The sequence below is a fragment of the Homo sapiens genome, chromosome 7 (genome assembly GCF_000001405.40).
Source record: "Homo sapiens chromosome 7, GRCh38.p14 Primary Assembly".
Taxonomy (NCBI): Eukaryota; Metazoa; Chordata; class Mammalia; order Primates; family Hominidae; genus Homo; species Homo sapiens.
Window position 1 is genome coordinate 138,811 of NC_000007.14, and position 17,537 is coordinate 156,347.

Here is a 17,537-nt window from a genome sequence, read left to right on the forward strand (position 1 = left end):
TAATTTGGTATCTTATTGCCACAAAGAGTCTGTCTGTCAGTCCTAAGATCTCCATGACCTCTAATGCTGGTCCGTGGTTGCATCTAAGCTGCAAAAGGGAAGGAGTATAATGAAGCGTGGCGGGCCTCCCTTCCCATCGAGGCTGGGAACTCAGCTTTTCAGGTTTCTCTGGGGCCCCTTTCAGTTGTTTAGGGGGCTTAGGGTTTTGTTTAGCTTACCAACTTTTCCTATTAGAAATTTAGCTGAAGTTGAGGTCACATAAGTCTTCTGGAGCATTCCCTAACACAGAAAATGCCCCGCCCTTTAGAATTCTAACAGGACAGAGAAAGTGGAGGCGAGGAGCCCACCCTCTCCAACTCCTGCTCTTACCGGGGCCCCAAGACCCAGAGGAGGGGCCTGCCTGGGCCCTGGGGAGGGCACCCAGCCTGTGCTCCCTGGAAGGGTGGGTTACTCCAGGCAGGCCACTCCTGCTGGCATGGCGATGATTCAGTTTCAGCCCTGCACCTGCAGCCTCTGGTTGCAGCCGGTCTGCAGTGTTTCTCTTTGTTCCCCCTTCCATCTTCCTCCCACCTTATGTTCCCATGCTTCCCAGCAGGAGCGGAGGCCCAATTTGCGTTTCCTTTTCTGTAATAAAGCCTGCTGATGGGTGATTGCAGCTTTCTCTCACTGCCAGGGAGGAACTGGGGTAGGCTCCAGGCAGCCAGAGGCACCACTGTGCTTCCGTGGGTTTCCCCGGGGCACCTTCAAGTTCCAGTGTGAGTGCTGTTGAGATTCCGGGCGTCCAGTGCACACACGGGAGACGGCCATTGCCTCCCCTCCAGCCCCAGCCGCGGTGCACAGGGCGAAGGCTGTCTGGGTGAAGGCTATTTGTGAGTGAGGCCGGGGAATGAGGGGCAGTTGGCTGCTGCTCTGGAGGCCTGGGCGGCCTTGGTGTCTGGGAGCCTCGGCCAGGACACTGGCCGGTGGGGCCCTCGTGGCCCTAGCTGACCTTGACTTACTGCAGCTGGAGCGAAGTCTCCCACAGGTCCTCCATCCTGCAGGGATTCGGGCATGACTAGGGGTCAGGTGAATCTGATGGACAGCCCTGCTGCATGAGTTCAGGCTGGGGCACTCCTGCAGGAGACTGAGCGCCCAGCACTGTCCATGAGGAGGGGGATTCTGAGCACTCACTGTGGCTGTGCCCCCGACTCAGCTGCAGCCTGGAGGGAGTGTCCAGCCCCAGGGAAGGCAGAAAGCCCTTGACAAACCCTGGTGCTCTGGCAGCCTGGTGGGCTGACAGGCAGCCCTGTCCCCATCCCTCCGCACGTCTCAGGCATGGCCTGCACGGGTCTCCTCGCAGGTGCCCCCACACCCCACCGTGCACGCCTGGCCATCTCCTAGAGAAAGGCCTCCCAGGCTGCTCAGGAGTGGCCAGGCTCCTCCTGCCCTCCTTCTCTTTGAGTGCTGAGCATGGGAGGCAGGTGGGGGGCCAAGGTCTTTGAGTGCTGAGCATGGGAGGCAGGTGGGGGGCCAAGGTCTTTGAGTGCTGAGCATGGGAGGCAGGTGGGGGGCCAAGGTCTTTGGGTGCTGAGCATGGGAAGCAGGTGGGGGGCCAAGGTCTTTGAGTGCTGAGCATGGGAGGCAGGTGGGGGGCCAAGGTCTTTGAGTGCTGAGCATGGGAGGCAGGTGGGGGGCCAAGGTCTTTGAGTGCTGAGCATGGGAAGCAGGTGGGGGGGCCAAGGTCTTTGAGTGCTGAGCATGGGAGGCAGGTTGGGGGCCAAGGTCTGAGCCTTTTGGAAGCACCCATCATCTGGTTCTCAAGTCAACTCTGATTTTCACGTCACTGGTGATTACTTCATTTTAAAAGGTAGCCTCCTGTTTTGGAGGTGTGAACTAAAAGCATAACCCTGAATCCCCCCCTCCACTGACTGAATGACCCTTCTCGGTCAAGGGGACCCAGAGAAACCTGAAAAGCTGAGTTCCAGGCCCTGACAGGAAGGGGGTCAGACATGCCTCGTCATACTCCCTCCCTTTGGGAGTTTAGACACAACTGACCAGCAGTAATGTTAAAACGGAGATCTTAAGACTGACAAAGCAGACTCTTGGTGGCAATAGGATACCGAATTATAACAGGACCCGAGGCCGCACAAGGCAGGGGTGGGTCCCACCTGCAGGCTGAGCAGGACCTGAGGCTGCACCTGTAGGCTACAGATCCTGTAGCAGGATCTTAACTTAAACGTTCCAAGTTTTAGACAGAGCCTTGCTCCTCTCACCAACAGGAACTCAAAGAATCTCTGGATCCATCTATATCCTGTAAGCCCCCTTCAAGGTGTCCCACCTCCAAAGGCCGAGCCAGTGTGGACCTGCCATGCATGGCTGTATGTCTTTGCCTATAACTCCTGCCTCCCTGAGATGTCAAAACCAAACTGCAATCCGATCTCCTCAGGCACACGTTCTCAGGACTCGCTGGGACCGTGTCTGTCTGGCTGTGTCACTCACTGGCTCAGAAGAAACCTCTTTAAAATATTTTACAGAGTTTGGTTTTTCCATCAACAGAGAAAAGACTTGGAATATGCAGGAAAGACTTGATCAATTTCAGGTGGTGGGCAGAATGCTTGTCACAGACGCACCCACTGCAAGTCTGCACAGCTGAGTGGAAGGAGCTGGTGCCTGACACTGTGACCCGAACTCAAAGGGCCACTCAGGCAGCACAGGCTGGTTATCAAGGGCGTCACTCCACCACCTCCAAAGCAAAAGGGACGTGTGGAGGACTGTGCTGCATTTTGTCTCAGTATTCATCAGCCTGGAGATAGAAATGTGTTCCTGTCGGGGGCGAGCCTTCCCTGTTGGACGTGGGTTTCTGAGGTTGTGTTCCCATTGGGGGTCAGCCTTCCATGTTGGAAGTGGGTTTCTGAAGTTGTGTTCCCGTTGGGGGTGAGCCTTCCATGTTGGAAGTGGGTTTCTGAGGTTGTGTTCCTGTCGGGGGTGAGCCTTCCATGTTGGAAGTGGGTTTCTGAAGTTGTGTTCCCGTTGGGGGTGAGCCTTCCATGTTGGAAGTGGGTTTCTGAGGTTGTGTTCCTGTCGGGGGTGAGCCTTCCCCGTTGGAGGTGGGTTTCCGAGGTTGTGTTCCTGTCGGGGATGAGCCTTCCCTATTGGACATATGGGTTTCTGAGGTTGTCTTCCTGTCGGGGGTGAGCCTTCCCCGTTGGAAGTGGGTTTCTGAGGTTGTGTTCCTGTCGGGGGCGAGCCTTCCCCATTGGAAGTGTGTTTCTGAGATTGTGTTCCTGTCGGGGATGAGCCTTCCCCATTGGACGTGGGTTTCTGAGGTTGTCTTCCTGTTGGGGGTGAGCCTTCCCCATTGGAAGTGGGTTTCTGAGGTTGTGTTCCTGTCGGGGGCGAGCCTTCCCTGTTGGAAGTGGGTTTCTGAAGTTTGCTGTTGGAAGCAGAGCTTGCGTCCATGCTCACAGCAGCACCAGCCGCAATCAGTCACTGAGGTCTGTGCTGGGTGTGGAAGATGAGAGTGGTACCACATGTTCCTCAATCTGGACTAGAGGTTTGTCTGTGATTAGCGGAGACTGGCCTGCCAAGAGCCAAGGGCGCTGTGTTTGCATGTACAGCAGGCGTCTGATACGGTTCTGGGGCAGACGCCAGCCAGGCCGAGCAGGCAGCCTCCACTGCTCCGTGCATGGGGTCAGAGTCCACAGCATGGGACCTGGTCCCTGGGCAGGCCTGACAGACATCTGTGAACCAGGAATGGGCATATTCCAGGAGGTCTGGCACAAAGCAAAGTCATTGTAGACTTTGGCAATTGCATTTGTTCCAGATAATACATTTTCTTAGGACCTAAGGCCTCAGAACTTAAAATGAATGTTGTAAAGTTTGAAGCCAAAACAAAATGCAGACAGGCTGTACCCAGCAATTCCTGACTCTGCAATCTGGGCCTAATTCAAGTACTCATCTCCATGGCCTGCCAAAACCCTCCCACCGGAGCTCACCCTGTGGTCCAGTGCTCAGCACCATTCATACCTATGTTCGGGGACAGAAGCCACTCTGGGGACTAGGAAGAAAACACGTAAAGGAATTGAGCTTAAAATAAAAAGAAATTCGGTATATTTCATACCCACTAGCAATATGCCTTTAGAAAGAGACAGGCTGGCAACTGCACGTTGGGAAGGACGCACAGTGACTAGAACTCTCGTTCCCTACTGCTGGGAGTGCAAAACGGAACAGCCACTCTCCCGACTGCCCAGCGACCACACTCCCGGGTGTTTACCCAAGAGAAATAAAAATCGTGTCTGTAAAAGAATGTCTATCAGCCTTATTGATAACGTCTCCAAACCCTGATTACATCAAGTGTCCGACCGCAGGAGGACGGACGAGAACGGGTGGCCCTTCACAGAACAGGCTAATTCTCAGCATGTGGGAGCACTCGTGCGTGGAAGGCCAGGCGTGTGACACGTGTGAGCATAGCGTGGGCAGGACGCACGTGAGGGCAGTGGCGGCTTCAAGCACAAATCCTAGGGACTGGGTGGGTCCTTGGAGCAGCAGGCCTGGGTGAGCCTTAGTGGACTCCTCTGTGGCCTGTAGGGGGGTCTCTGCCCTCATCACACCCAAGGAGACCAGGAGACCCGCACAGATGCAGGTTCTCCTCAGTTGTCTAGTGGAGGACTTCAGATTGGAAAGAAACTCTCAGCCTGGCAGCCTCACAGTACTGAGGAGGCCACAGGCCCAGGAAGGGCCTCACTATTGGGCCCCACGCTGCCGGCTCCTGGTGACCTGCGTCCCAGTACCTGGTCTGGTTTCTTTTCCCAGACTTTGGAAGGTCCCCGTTGTCTGCAGGGGGTCCCAGCCCTGCCAGGGGAAACCCCCCAAATCCGAAGGCAAGGGAACGCCCAGGAGAGGGAACCTGCTGTCCACGCTGCAGAAAGGCCCGCAGTTCTCCTGTCTTCACAAGATGCCTGACCCCGGCTGAGTCACCTGAAATCTTTCCAAAGCACCCTCAGCACACATTAGGGCACTTCTCCCTGTATTTTGGTATCAACCTATTTCCCCTACCCTGCCTCAGTCCTATTGCTTCTTTGTGAACTTTGCTTAGAGAATCTTCTCCTGAAGTCTGCAGAGGAAACTGGGGCGCCCTCAGATGCTGTGTTCACACTGTGTGTGGACACACAAGCATCCCCTTGGCCACCCCCAGGCAGGCCCTGCAAGTCGGAGGCCTGAGGGGAGAACCAGTGTCCCCGAGACACTCTTGCTGGTCGGAGACGCCTGAGTGCTGTGACCAGGCCACACACAGAGACTGGCGCTGCAGCCCCTGGAGGGGAGGCTTCAATCTTCACCCAAAGCAGCCATCAGTGGGACTCACCCTGGGCTGGCCTGACCCAGCACAAAACTATAGTGTCGAAGAAATACAGGAAATGAAAAGAAACCTAGAATGAACTGAAACCAAAATGGGGGGAAGATGGAAATATTAACTACCCAGTATGTAAAACTGGTTTTCACACTTTTTAACGTTTTATACATGGCACTGCCTGTTACCCAGGCCCCGACTCGGCCCCTCCCTGGCCTGCTGCCTGCGTTGCTCCTGCCCGTCATTCCCTCCCCTCAGCCTGCTTTTCCTCCAAAGCTCTAGCTAATACCTGAAATGACAGCATGGATTTGCTTATTTATTTATTGGGCTGCCCCTCATACATACGAGCTGCAAGAGGGCAGGGTCGAAGCCTGTCTTGTTACAGGGCCCGTGGTGGAGCTGTACAAGTCACACCCTGCCGAGGGGAGCACTCTGCTCACCAGCCGCCTGGAGGGGCACACGTTTCCCACCCCATTCACCCAGGGGAGACCTTTTTCCGTTGCGTGCAGAGGTTCTGTGTGAGCTGGAGGCGGCCACGGGCCAGTCACACGGATGGTGGCTCCGGCTGGTGCCCATCCCTTCATATTCAGGAGAGACGGACTGTCTGTGAGACATTCTCACAGGTGCTCTGGGATACACGCCATGGCTGTACCTGGCCTCAAGTGGCTCATCGTGCTTCAGGGGATACAAAATGGATACACAGATAACTCTAATACAAAATAAGGTCTGAGGGCAGGAATTTTGGAATATTGTCATATTTGTTTCTAGAGTTATTTTAGAAAAGCTCATATTGTGGGATTTGGATGAAAATTCATCATTACATTCTTAATAGACCGATTTGGGGGGCAAACTGGAGTCCTTTTGTAACACTGGTTTGGATAAGGGAATTTGAAATTACCTCAAAGAATAAGCAACAGTTCTAATTTTCATTCCATTTAGGTTCAGAAAAAGGATGGAGGTAGAAAGTCCTCTCTCCCAAACACTATGATTGACACTGCAGAGTTCTGCAACTCTCGTACGAGGGAGATTTCATGATGATCTCAGTAACCGATCAGAGAATCAACGACTGACTTCGCTGAGGCACGGTGATGAAAAGGTCAAGGTGGTCTGGTCTGAGTGAAGTCACAGCAAGAACCCTTGTCCAGGGCCATTCTCACCTTTGGGGACAGCTCCTTCCCTGTATGGTCCTCATGTCACTGCACTTTCCTGCCTTGTTTCTTGCTGAAGCCATTATTTCTTAATTCCTTAGTAGATATGCAGAGCGGACATCCCAAAGAAGCTAGAAAAATTGATGAGCAGGGAACAGATCAAATCCTCTCCATCAGTGGAAGGCAATTCACGAGGGAAGAAGGCAAGACCATGGGGTAATTTTTCTGAGACTTGACAATGTTTGCCAAGTAAATAAATCTGCCATTTAACACTACGATAAAAGCTGTCATAGCCAGGGTATTAGTGACTACTTGAGGTTTGAGGACAATGAAGACAGAGTAAGATAAACATCCTTACTATCCAGAAAAAAAAAACGGAACCAGAAGACAGCGCTTCTTACTATCCACAAAAGAAATGGAACCGCAAGACAGCCCTTCTTATTTTTCTCCATCTTCGATGGTGAGGAAGAATAAAAAAAAAGTTGCTTTTAAAGTATATTCATTAAAATCAAATTCTATTATCATACACACAAAATATTTACGTGAAACCAGCCACAAAAGAATGACAAGGAACGCTACTGATTTGTCCATTCTGGGGGATAAGAACACAGATTCTTATCTCACTCTTGTTAAAAGAAAACTTCAGCTGAATTAAATTTAAAGGAGTTTAATTGAGCAATGAATGATTTGCACATCGGGCAGCCCCCAGAATTACAGCAGATTCAGAGAGACTCCAGTGCAGCCACGTGGTGGAAGATTTATAGACAAAAAAAGGGAAGTGAGGTAGAGAAACACCTGGATTAGTTACAGGTTGGCATTTGCCTTATTTACACACAGTTTGAACATTCAGCAGTGTATGAGTGATTGAAGTACGGCTGCTGGGACTGGCCGAGACTCAGCAATTGTGACAGGTACATACTCCTAATTTAGGTTTTCAATCTTGTCTACCTATTAAGTTAGGCTCAGTTTGTTCACAGGGACTCCAATACAGAAGTACGGAGTCCTTCTCAGGCCATATTTAGTTCGCTTTAACAATTCCCCCTTTTTGGTCATTTTATCAGTTTTGAGAGATTGATCGAAACTTGAGTTATTGATGTCACTGTCACCATTGGTCTTGAAACCCACTAGGAAGCAGAACAGTGAGTTTTGCAAAGGTAGGAACAAGGACTGAGTTGAGGATACCACCTTATGCTGGAAAGTCCTGTTTGCAAGAGAAAAACAAAACCTGGTCTATTCTAGGACCCATGTGTTTCCTTAAAGTCTTAATTCGATTATGTCACATTTAGCACGAATGATGCCATTTTGGTTCGGTTTGGTCTGTTGGGACCTAGTGCTCAGTCCAAAACAATGGCCTCCCATCATTTTGTTTAAAAAATTCCCCCTTTGTCAGGTTGTCACTTAGGCAAGAGTGTGACCAAAACTTAGGATGTTAGCGCCACTCTCCGTTACTATCATTTTGGATTTCCAGTCTCAGCATGTCACTCATCGGTTTCGGTGTCCTCGTGGTCACACATTTCTTTCAGCTCTTGTCATTCCAGTTGAAGAGAGACCATCTGACGTTCTAAAGATGGCTTCATGCAAACATTTAAAACCTTTGAGAGAATACAGTGCACCAGGGAGACTATTCTTATGACTACTGAGAGGGTTAACACCAAGAATTTGGAGTATGCTCCTTAGCCAGGGTCCCCATAAACCAGACCACCTAAACTCAAATAGACCATTCTTTGACTTAACTCAGTGGTCTTTTCGTTAATTCCCTACAACAGACTCTCTATAACACCTGATGTTTTCTCCATAGGCCTTAAGTGCCAGCATCTGCACAGGTACTTTCCTGTTTAGCCAATTCTATTTTTTAGCATAACTTTCACAAGAGAATTTAACATCTGTTGTGTAGCCTTTACAGTAGAATCTGCTACAGAGTCTACCATGAGGGATATGTTTCTAGTCATTGCCTTTTTAATTCCAAACCATGGAAAAAGGACCTAACAAATGATGCCCTTCTAGAAGAGGGAAGGCCTCTTGGCAATGGTCTCTTTAACCCATGCTGTGGGTTAAGAGGAGTGAACCAATGTTCTGCTTCTGAATGATTATGAGGCACCATATGTACCATTGAAGTTTCTCACCTATGATACACTGGGCCTTCATCTTTATCTATCAAGTTATAAGATTATCCATGTATAAAGCTGGCTGCAAAGCCCTTCACAAATAAAAGTATACCCCATAAGTGCACAAAACAGACCCCCTTCTCACTTCTGTTGTTCACAGAGGCGGAAGCAACGGAAAAACATTCAAAGATAAGAGTCTCATGATAGTAAGAAGTCTTGATCCATGATCTTCAGAAAGAGCTGCTCACATCAAGGATGCCATCTTCTTCTGGGGAGAAACTTCCCTGATTAGCTTTACCTTAAGGGTTTCAATGGATGTAGAGTTCCAAGAGTGACCCTGCTCAGTTGTGAGATTATGACCCCAAGGTTCAAGATCCTGATGTTTTGTTGCAGTGATGATGCCAAGGGCAGCGTTTCTCTGATGTTCTCAGAAGATCCCATCTTTGGGTTCTAGATTGTGAAGGGGTTGATTGTCCTCAGTGAACCATAAAAAGCTCTTTACCTGGTGAAAATACACTGATACATAGTAATCTACTGTTATAACATTAGCCCTCCTGCATGGGAAAGCTTTAGTACAACCAGAACACATACATTGAAAATGACAACTGAATGAAACCCCTTTATAAATGTTTAAATGCCTCATCAGGTAGCCAAATGTACATGAAGCTTTGATTGACTTCCCAGGAGTATGGGTTTGACAAACTAAACATTGTTTATAAACTATTTTAACAATCTGTAAGTCACCACACCAACATATTTAATTTGGATCATTTTATCTTTTCCAGGATGAGTCATGGAATGCATAACTTTTAATAACAAAAGCTTTAAGGACTCACGAAGGACAAGGCAGCCATCTTGGTTCTCCATGAGTCCATGCTTAACATCGGACTTATGTCCTCTTGGGTGCCAGTTGTTTCTCCAAATTGGGCACATAGCATGGATAACTGATGGGTTATCACAGGTAATTTGACTTAGACCATGGAGTTCATTCAAATTGTATATCTAAACAATTTCAGTATAGGCTGATTAAGTATGCAAACCTGGTGAAGCATTTCCTCGGTATTCAATTAATTTTTATTCTATTTGGGTTAGCAGTTTTATAAGCCAGTCAGTCTTTTCATTAAAGTTTCAGCAATTCTTACCCAGTCCAAATGATGTGATTTTGAAGTTACTAGAAACCTGTATTCCACAGTGCTTTTCAGGGTCCTCCCCATCCGTTCACGAACCTCCTAAAAGACACCATGTTCTAGGATTTTTGTGTGCTTGTGAAGTTTTCAGAAACTACATCAGCATGAAGCAATTAACTGCGGAAATGACTTTAAATACTCAAAAAGACACAATTGACAAAGAAATTTGGTTATAACAACAACATAACCATAATTATGATCGGTAGCATATACTCAGAAAAATTAGAATTTTAGAAATCCCATACAACTTTGGAACATATATTAATATCATTCACTAAAATATAACCTGAAGAAGGTTAAATTTTTTTTTTGACACTATTCTGTATCGAAAAGTCCAAAATGTTTCTTAAAAAGTAACTAAAAAAACACTGGAGTAATTAAAGGACACTTCCTGTGCAGGGGATGGAAAAATCTCAACAAAAAAGGAGCGCAGAAGAGCCTGGCTAGGCGGGAGAACACGGTCAGGCCCGCAGGAGACGCCGCGGCACCTGCCAGAAAGAGAGCCGCAGGCCAAGACCAGGAGACGCGAGAGAGGTGGGCAGGGCTGCCCGAGAGACCCAGGCGGCCATTGCCCGCCCTGCGTCTGCGCCTGCGCCGGAGCCTCCTCCACACTGCGCCAGCGCCGAGTCCGGCCGCCTCCTCATTGCGCCGGCGCCGGGGCTTCCTCCACACCGCGCCTGCGCCGATGACAACCCGCCTCTACAGGACGCCTGCGCAACGCCATAGTCACCTCATCAGCTCCGTGCACTTACGAGTCTCTCTCTGATCGACCACGTGTTCCTGTCGGCTCACAGAGGCCGCCTCAGGGTCCTCCCCCATTGTCTTCCTCGCACCCTCCACTGTTCCCGGCCCTTCACTCTGCGCTTGCGCAGGAGTCGCTCGCTCCTCTCTGCGCCTGCGCAGAGGCCACCTCCTCCCCGCCCGTCCGCTCCCTTGGCGTCGTCTTGGGCCGCGCCCCGACCCCTTCTGTTTACGCATGCGCAGGAGCCGCCCTGCGCGGGTGGGGGGCTGAGCCCCTGTGGCTTCAGGTTTAAAGGCGCGAGCGCCACCCACGCAGGCACAAGGGCTCCTAGTCGTTTTATTTTTAGCGTAAGGTTTTCCTCTTTAACAAGGAAGTAAAAAAAAAAGTTGTGCAATAAATATTAATCGTCCTTATATGTACTCGGGAACGTTCGTCCTTTAGGTTTTCTCCTGGCGCATGGGCGCCGCCAATCATTTCGGGGCTTATTTTGGTTCTAAAGCCCGGGGCAGCCAGGCCTCCCTGCCTGGCCTCGGCGGGGACGCGGGACCTGGGGCCCCGGACCGGGCCTAACCGCCCTGGCCGGTCCCCACTGATGGTGGCGGTCGGTCCTGATCGTCCTGATGGCAGCGACCAGGCTGGACTCGGGCTGTGCAGGGGCGAGGGGAGCAGGGCGGGGTGACGCCCGGAGAGCGGCCTGGAGAGCGCGTGCTTCAGAAGGCGTGGGCACCCTGTCCCCTTTGCAGATGGGGATGCAGGCCCTGGTGGCGGTGGAGGGGAGATGGGGGCAGGGACGTTGCCGGGCAGAGGAAGCTGGGTGAGTGTGCACTTGGTCCCCTTTGCTCCTCCCTGGGACTTTGGGCTCTATAGGGCAGCCTCCGAGGCCCACGTGCACACTCGGTGAACCACAGTCCAGACACAGGCAGGGCGGCAGGCCAGGGAAGGAGAGGCCAGGTGTTGGTGCATGGAGAGGCCAGGTGTTGGCCTGGGGGTGCTAAGTGAACCCCCAAGGTCGCGGAGACAGTAGGGCAACAGCAAAACGAGCTCTGCCGTCCAGGGCGAGGGCCCGGAGTCCTCCCCAGGGGTGGGCTGCAGAGAAGCCCCTGTCCAGGCCCTGCTCACCTGCAAAGTGCTCCCGAGCTCCTGTGCCCCCAGCAGCAATCCCAGCCCCGCTGACACCCAAGCTTGTCACCCGCTGGGTTTCTTGAGGTCTGAGGACCGTGGCTGAGGGTGCATGGGCGCTGGGATGGAGGGGGATGTCCTGTCCCAGTCTGTGCTTATTAATTGTTAAAGAGGGCAAGGCTGCTTTTATTCAAGGTGGGGGGGCTGCTAAAGCGAGATGTTGGGTTAGGGGAGGCAGATCCGGCTCAACTCCAGATAGAAAAAGTGGGAATTGACAGCCCAGGCGTAGGGTCGGGAGTGGAGAGAAAATTACTAAGAGGAAGGGTCAGGGGCAAGGCGGGTTCTAGCTGCATAGACAGGATTTTTGCTGAAAAGGCAGGCAGTGTGGTCACAGACCGAGGGTGGGAGTTGAGGACTTTGATCAGGGACCAAGAGTAGACGATTTTCACTAAACCGACTCAGCAGGATTCTTGCTAAATCGGCCGAAACCGGCCAAGGTCAGGGACTGGTCACAGGGAGGGCTCAGAGGAGCCTGACTCGAGTGTGGTCAAAGGAGAGAGTCTTTGTCATCTTTTAAGAGGCGAGAGTGACGTATTAGTGAGAAACGGTGAAGGGATCAAGCTCAGGCCAGCAGCCCCGAGTTTGAGATGAGGACAGGCTGGGTCCAGGAAGGGCTGCAGGAATAGGGGGCACCTGAGCCTGCAGAAAGCGGGGAGCCCAGCCGCCAGAGCAGGCACCCCCAGGCAGACCTCAGTGTGTCCTGCCCTGTGGGAGTGGCAAGGCCAGACCAAGCTGGATGTGAACCAGTCCCAGAACACCGCCTAGAATTTGGATTGTAATTTGTTATCGATGATATTGCTGCTTGGTCTCTCTCCTCTTCCTCCCCACCCCCACCCAAGATGGAGTCTGGCTTTGTCCCCCAGGCTGGAGTGCGATGGCAGGATCTCGGCTCACTGCAACCTCCGCCTCCTGGGTTCAAACAATTCTCCTGCCTCAGCCTCCCAAATAGCGGGGATTACTGGTGCGTGCCACCACACCCAGCTAATTTTTGTATTTTTGGTAGAGACGGGGTTTCATCATGTTGGCCAGGCTAGTCTCAAACTCCTGACGTCGTGATCCGCCCACCTCAGCCTCCCGAAATGCTTTGGGATTACGGGTGTGAGCCGCCGCGCCGAGCATGGCCATCGTGGCTACATCAGTCCCGGCTAATAGAGATTTTAGCACACTCAGATTCTATTGGCTAATAAGATTTAATTATAATTCTGGGGTATTTAACAATGTCGTTATACAGTCTTCATTGTTGCAAATGGAGAATGAAATCGGGTGCATGTGACACTAATATGACCTGTTCATGCTCTGTCACTTAAACGGAGTTAAGTAACATAGCCCTGAGCAGGAAGACTCCTTCCCCACTTCTGTCCAGGAGCTCCTTACTCGATTCTGGGGAACAGAAAGGCTTTCAGCGGCCAAGGGGAGTGACAACAGCCAGACATGAGACACCTCCTAGAGCCCTTTGGTGTTACCCTTTCCGGTCCATCAGCCACAGTGTCCACCCCAGGTAGCTGGGTCCTGAGTTCACCGTCTCAGGACATTTTTCGACCTGGTTTGTCTGAATTATTATTATTATTGATCATTGAGACAGGGTCTCAGTCCATCGCCAAGACTGGAGTGCAGTGGTGTGATCCTGGCTTACTCAGCCTCCCAGGCTCAGGTGATCCTCCCAGCTCAGCCTCCTGCGTAGCTGGGACCACAGGCAGGCACCACCATGCCTGGCTAAATTTTTTGTATTTTTTGTAGAGACCAGCTCTCGCTATGTTGTCCAGGTTGGTCTCAAACTGCTGCCTCAGCCTCCCAAGGTGCTGGGATTACAGGCATGAGGGACCAAGCTCAGCAATCTGAATTATTTATGCAGAATTTTTTTTTCTCTAGCTGGAAGAGCTGTTTATATGCACGTTTCTTTGGGGGCAACTCTTCTCCATTGTCACAGATTTTTTTTTTCCAAGCCATTCCTGGGGGATTCCTGGGAGCCATGTGGGAGAGGCGTGAGGAAGTGAGACCTTCACCCCGAGACAGGTCCTGACACACCCTCTGGTGCCTCTACTCAAGTGAGGTGAGAGGGGAAACTGGTGTATTTTTAGATGAAGTTTCCTTGGGAAATTGTTTCTATTTTATATTTTATCAGTAATCCCCTGGCTAATGTTTTAAACCAATATTTATAACACTGCCTCAGAGCTTTGGAATAAACAGATTTCCATAAAGAAAAGCTGCTTTAGAGTGCTACACTGTAAGAGGGGCCGGGCAAACAAGAAGGGACGGAGGAAAGACCACCAAGTGAGAGGCACAGGTGTCAGGACACACAGAGAGCCCGAAAACGAGGCAGAGGTGAGCGGGGACCAGCAGCACAGCGGCACTGACGCGCCAGGGACTTGGGCTCTGCTGGCCTCCTCCCTCGCGGCCAGCAGTGGCAGTGGTGGGAGTAGGCCTGGCTTGTCTGTGGTTGCCTTTGTTGCTTTAATTGAAAGTACTCAAGGCTATTTCTTGTCGCGTCATTTCTGACAGTGTCCGGTGGTCCCTACCCTGTAATGCCAGGAGGTTCCAGCCCCACCCTTCCCTCCCCACTCCCTCTTTCATCTCCCGGATCCTATTAGAGGATTGCTTTTATAGCTGATGAGCTGATGAAGTATGCATTTAGCCCTTTAACCGTAACTGAATTTCCCCTGGTGCACATCTGTATGAAGGGTGTGCACCAGGGCTGAGCCGTCTGCTGGGCGAATATGTCCCTCCCTGAGGCCCAGGACCACAACCCCTGAGTCACTCAAAGGAATCGTTCCCAGCCTTAAGGTCAGATGCGCTTTCTCCTTGTCCTCCATTATTTCTTTAAATTCCTGCCACATTTAAGTTTCTTTATATTTAAACTAAGACCTTTTATTTCTTAAACTTCTAATTGCTGTTCTTTTATTATTTTTGATAGAAGTTTGGCTGCTGTAACTGACTGGGAAGCTTAAAATAACAGACAATCATCTCTCACATTTATGGGGACTGGGAAGTCCAAGACCAAGTTGCCATCTGGGGAGGGCCTGTTCCTCACAGCGCCTTCCAGCTCAGGCCTCGTTTATAAGGGCACTCAAGCCTTCCACGACAACGGGTCCTCATGACTTACTCACCTCGGAAAGCCCCACCCCCAAGACCATCACATTGTGGGTGATGGCAGAGCATAAGGTGCCTTCCCCACATGCTCGGGTTGGCCCAGCGTCTCACGCTAGCAGCTACGTGGAATAGTTATTTTTTCTGGAGAACTCTGGGACCCCTCTGATGTCTTGGAGCACCCACACAGGCCGTTCACTGTGCACGCTGTGAGGCTGTCGTCTTGGAGCACCCACACAGGCCGTTCACTGTGCACGTGGTGAGGCTGTCCTCTGGGGAGTTCTGCTGTTGTATGGGTTCTGTCTGTGTCAATGTCCCAGCGGGAACGCAGGGCACACTAGCGTCATCCCCAGAGGGCTTGGTAAGGGGACTGTTTGCAGAGACATAGGCAGAGGGCTGGAAAACTACCAAAAAAGTGCAGTGTTCTGGACCTAATAATAGCAGAGCTATTCTCACCCTGGTCTGAAGGCAGGAGGGGAGGAGCAGTTAATGGATTCTGGAAGTCAGGTTGCACAGAGTCACCTTGAAAGATGCCATGACCTTCACCGAGGGCCAGACAGAGACTAAGATGACCCCATAGGAGAATAAGACCTAGACCTCATCCTCCTGCCTCCTGCCAGTCCCTGCCAGGGGTCGCCAATGGCAAAACAGGACTGGAAGCCAGAGGCCATGGAAGCCCATGGATGAAGTCCACAGGCCAGCCTCCCCGAGAGCAGCCTGGACGGTCCGCAGGAGACGTCTCCTGTCTTAGGCGTCCCACGCCGCGTGCTCCTGTTCAGCCCTGCCGAGGTGGAAGCTTGGAGTGGCTCACGGTGGATGCATTGACGCTGCAGACGCCAGCAAGTGCTACAAACCAGAGCTGGCCTTTAACTCAGACTGATGGAGAAGGTGTTAATAATGCAGATTAGACTTAAAAGTGTTGAAGCCATTGCACTGTGAACAGCAAAAAAATTGAAGAACTCTTCTGGCATTTAAAAACAATTACTCAGTTCAGCAGAGAAGTCACTGACAAACGAGATCACACTGACTGCTTTGTCGTTTTGGTTTTGTCTTACTCATTAATGCAAATAAGAACATTCACTAGCATCTGTGTCGGGCCTACCCTCCCTGGTCAAATACAGCTACAGTCTCCCTGCAGAAACGAGTTTTCCAGAAATGAGCCGATGTTTTCTGCGAGAATCAATTGGTCATATACAATTTACAAAAATGAGTACTGTATACTATATTTGTAAACTGTACACTGCAGATGCTTTATTTCACTGAAATTTATAATACACTTATCCATGTATATGCATGCATGCATTTTTGTTCCTGAGATCCAGCTGTGAAATGTTTACCAGCACATAAATTACCAGCACATGCTCTTTTTTGTTAACCTACTAGGTAAAATCTTCATTTATTACATCAAATTCTTGTAGTTTTTGTATTGCAATTATGCAGATATTGATTATCGCAGTATTACTGCAATTATACAGATACCACAATTTCAGATATTGATCAGCGTGTTCAGTTGGTTTCTAAGGAGGTTTACTTACCTCATGGTACACCTAGTTTGCATAGTTTGATTATATTTAACTCTTATGCTAATTGGGGGAAGTCATTGATTTATTGGACAGATGCACCTGTGGTCTTCCCTGAGCACATCCTGGCCAAGGATGCTGCCCCCAGGAGATTTGAGAAGTCCTGTAAGGATCATATCAGTATTTTCAAATACTTATAGAAAAGCCAGAGGGATTGACCCAGAATTACCAATATAAGCTTGACCCTGAGATAACAATGCCATTTTATGTTTGCATGCATAAAACCAATGCAAGAGGCTGATGACTCCAGATCCCTTATATAAGCCAATAAAAAGTAGTTTCATTTTTTATTTCATTTAAAAAAGTGTACCATTAACCTAAAGCCTGCTTGTAAAACCAGTTTGTTTCTGAAGCATTAGCTCAAAGCTCACTTGCATTTGGTGAGAAGTCCCTCACGTGTGGCTGCCCTGGCTGGGAGCTCTGAGCTCTGGGAGCCATTGGAACTGCTAATCCCACCAGTGCCGTCTGATTCCCTCTGCTCTAATGGAGGTCTTTTGCCGGGTATCCAGTGGCATTTTCTGGGCTTGGGAGTCAGTAATTCCCAGTGATCAAGTGTCTCTGCTCTGAAAATGCCTTTCTTTGTGATATGAAGCTGTCAGTGATGGAGACTGACCTTTTCATAAGTCAGTGAATTTTCTTTCTCTGAGTCATTTTAGAGAGTGAATCTGAACTCTCCAGTCTGTCCTAAGAAGACATTAATTGGAGCAGGCATGGAACCTTCAGCTTTCCCAGTCACCTGCCGGGTTACTTGGCTTAACCTGGGAATTAACCAGTTAATAAGGTTGTTGAAATGGAAAGAATCCAGGAGGCTGCAGTGTGAGGCTGATTTGCTGTCTTTATTAAGTGAGGAAATGAGAAATGGGAAGAATCCAGGAGGCTGCAGTGTGAGGCTGATTTGCTGTCTTTATTAAGTGAGGAAACGACAGCAAAGCACTTCTAGGCTTCTCACAGCTGAGCACACGAAGACTAAGCCCTCTTCCCGCCGTAGCCAGTGAGGAGAGGATCCCTCTTCCCAAGCCCCCTCAAGCAGTGGCTCCCGCTCACTGGAGGCTGGAGTTTCTAGGGCTTGTCCCTGTCCAGAGCTGCTGCCTCAGGTGTGAGGGTGACTGCCCAGCCCCCGCGCCACAGGCCCTCCTCTCACCCGGACCTCAGGACCAGTTGGTAGGCCCCAGGCTTCCACCTTCAG

The 17,537-nt window shown here is 50.4% G+C and overlaps 2 long non-coding RNA genes across 3 annotated transcripts, besides 2 other annotated features; one reads left to right on the forward strand and one right to left on the reverse strand.

Moving 5' to 3' along the window:
- Window positions 279–1,047: an enhancer, noted in NCBI's record as "H3K27ac-H3K4me1 hESC enhancer chr7:139089-139857 (GRCh37/hg19 assembly coordinates)". NCBI's record gives its function as "activates a minimal SCP1, AML or CMV promoter by ChIP-STARR-seq in naive H9 embryonic stem cells {active_cell/tissue: H9 hESC(naive)}" and the evidence as "EXISTENCE:reporter gene assay evidence [ECO:0000049][PMID:30033119]".
- LINC03015 (long intergenic non-protein coding RNA 3015) lies at window positions 5,634–10,628 on the reverse strand. Its single transcript, NR_134325.1, has 3 exons — window positions 10,519–10,628; window positions 9,722–9,808; window positions 5,634–6,001 (listed from the first exon to the last, which is right to left on the reverse strand). It is a non-coding gene; the product is annotated as a long intergenic non-protein coding RNA 3015 (long non-coding RNA).
- Window positions 10,359–10,653: an enhancer, noted in NCBI's record as "tiled region #13780; HepG2 Activating non-DNase unmatched - State 4:PromP, and K562 Activating DNase unmatched - State 1:Tss". NCBI's record gives its function as "activates a minimal TATA promoter and a strong SV40 promoter by Sharpr-MPRA in HepG2 and K562 cells {active_cell/tissue: HepG2 | K562}" and the evidence as "EXISTENCE:reporter gene assay evidence [ECO:0000049][PMID:27701403]".
- Window positions 10,908–16,655, forward strand: LINC03014 (long intergenic non-protein coding RNA 3014). Of its 2 annotated transcripts, NR_108064.1 has the most exons (3): window positions 10,908–11,322; window positions 13,631–13,737; window positions 14,599–16,655. It is a non-coding gene; the product is annotated as a long intergenic non-protein coding RNA 3014 (long non-coding RNA). The 2 variants fall into 2 exon arrangements; NR_108065.1 differs by lacking the exon at window positions 13,631–13,737.
- The last annotated feature ends 882 nt before the right edge of the window (window positions 16,656–17,537 follow it).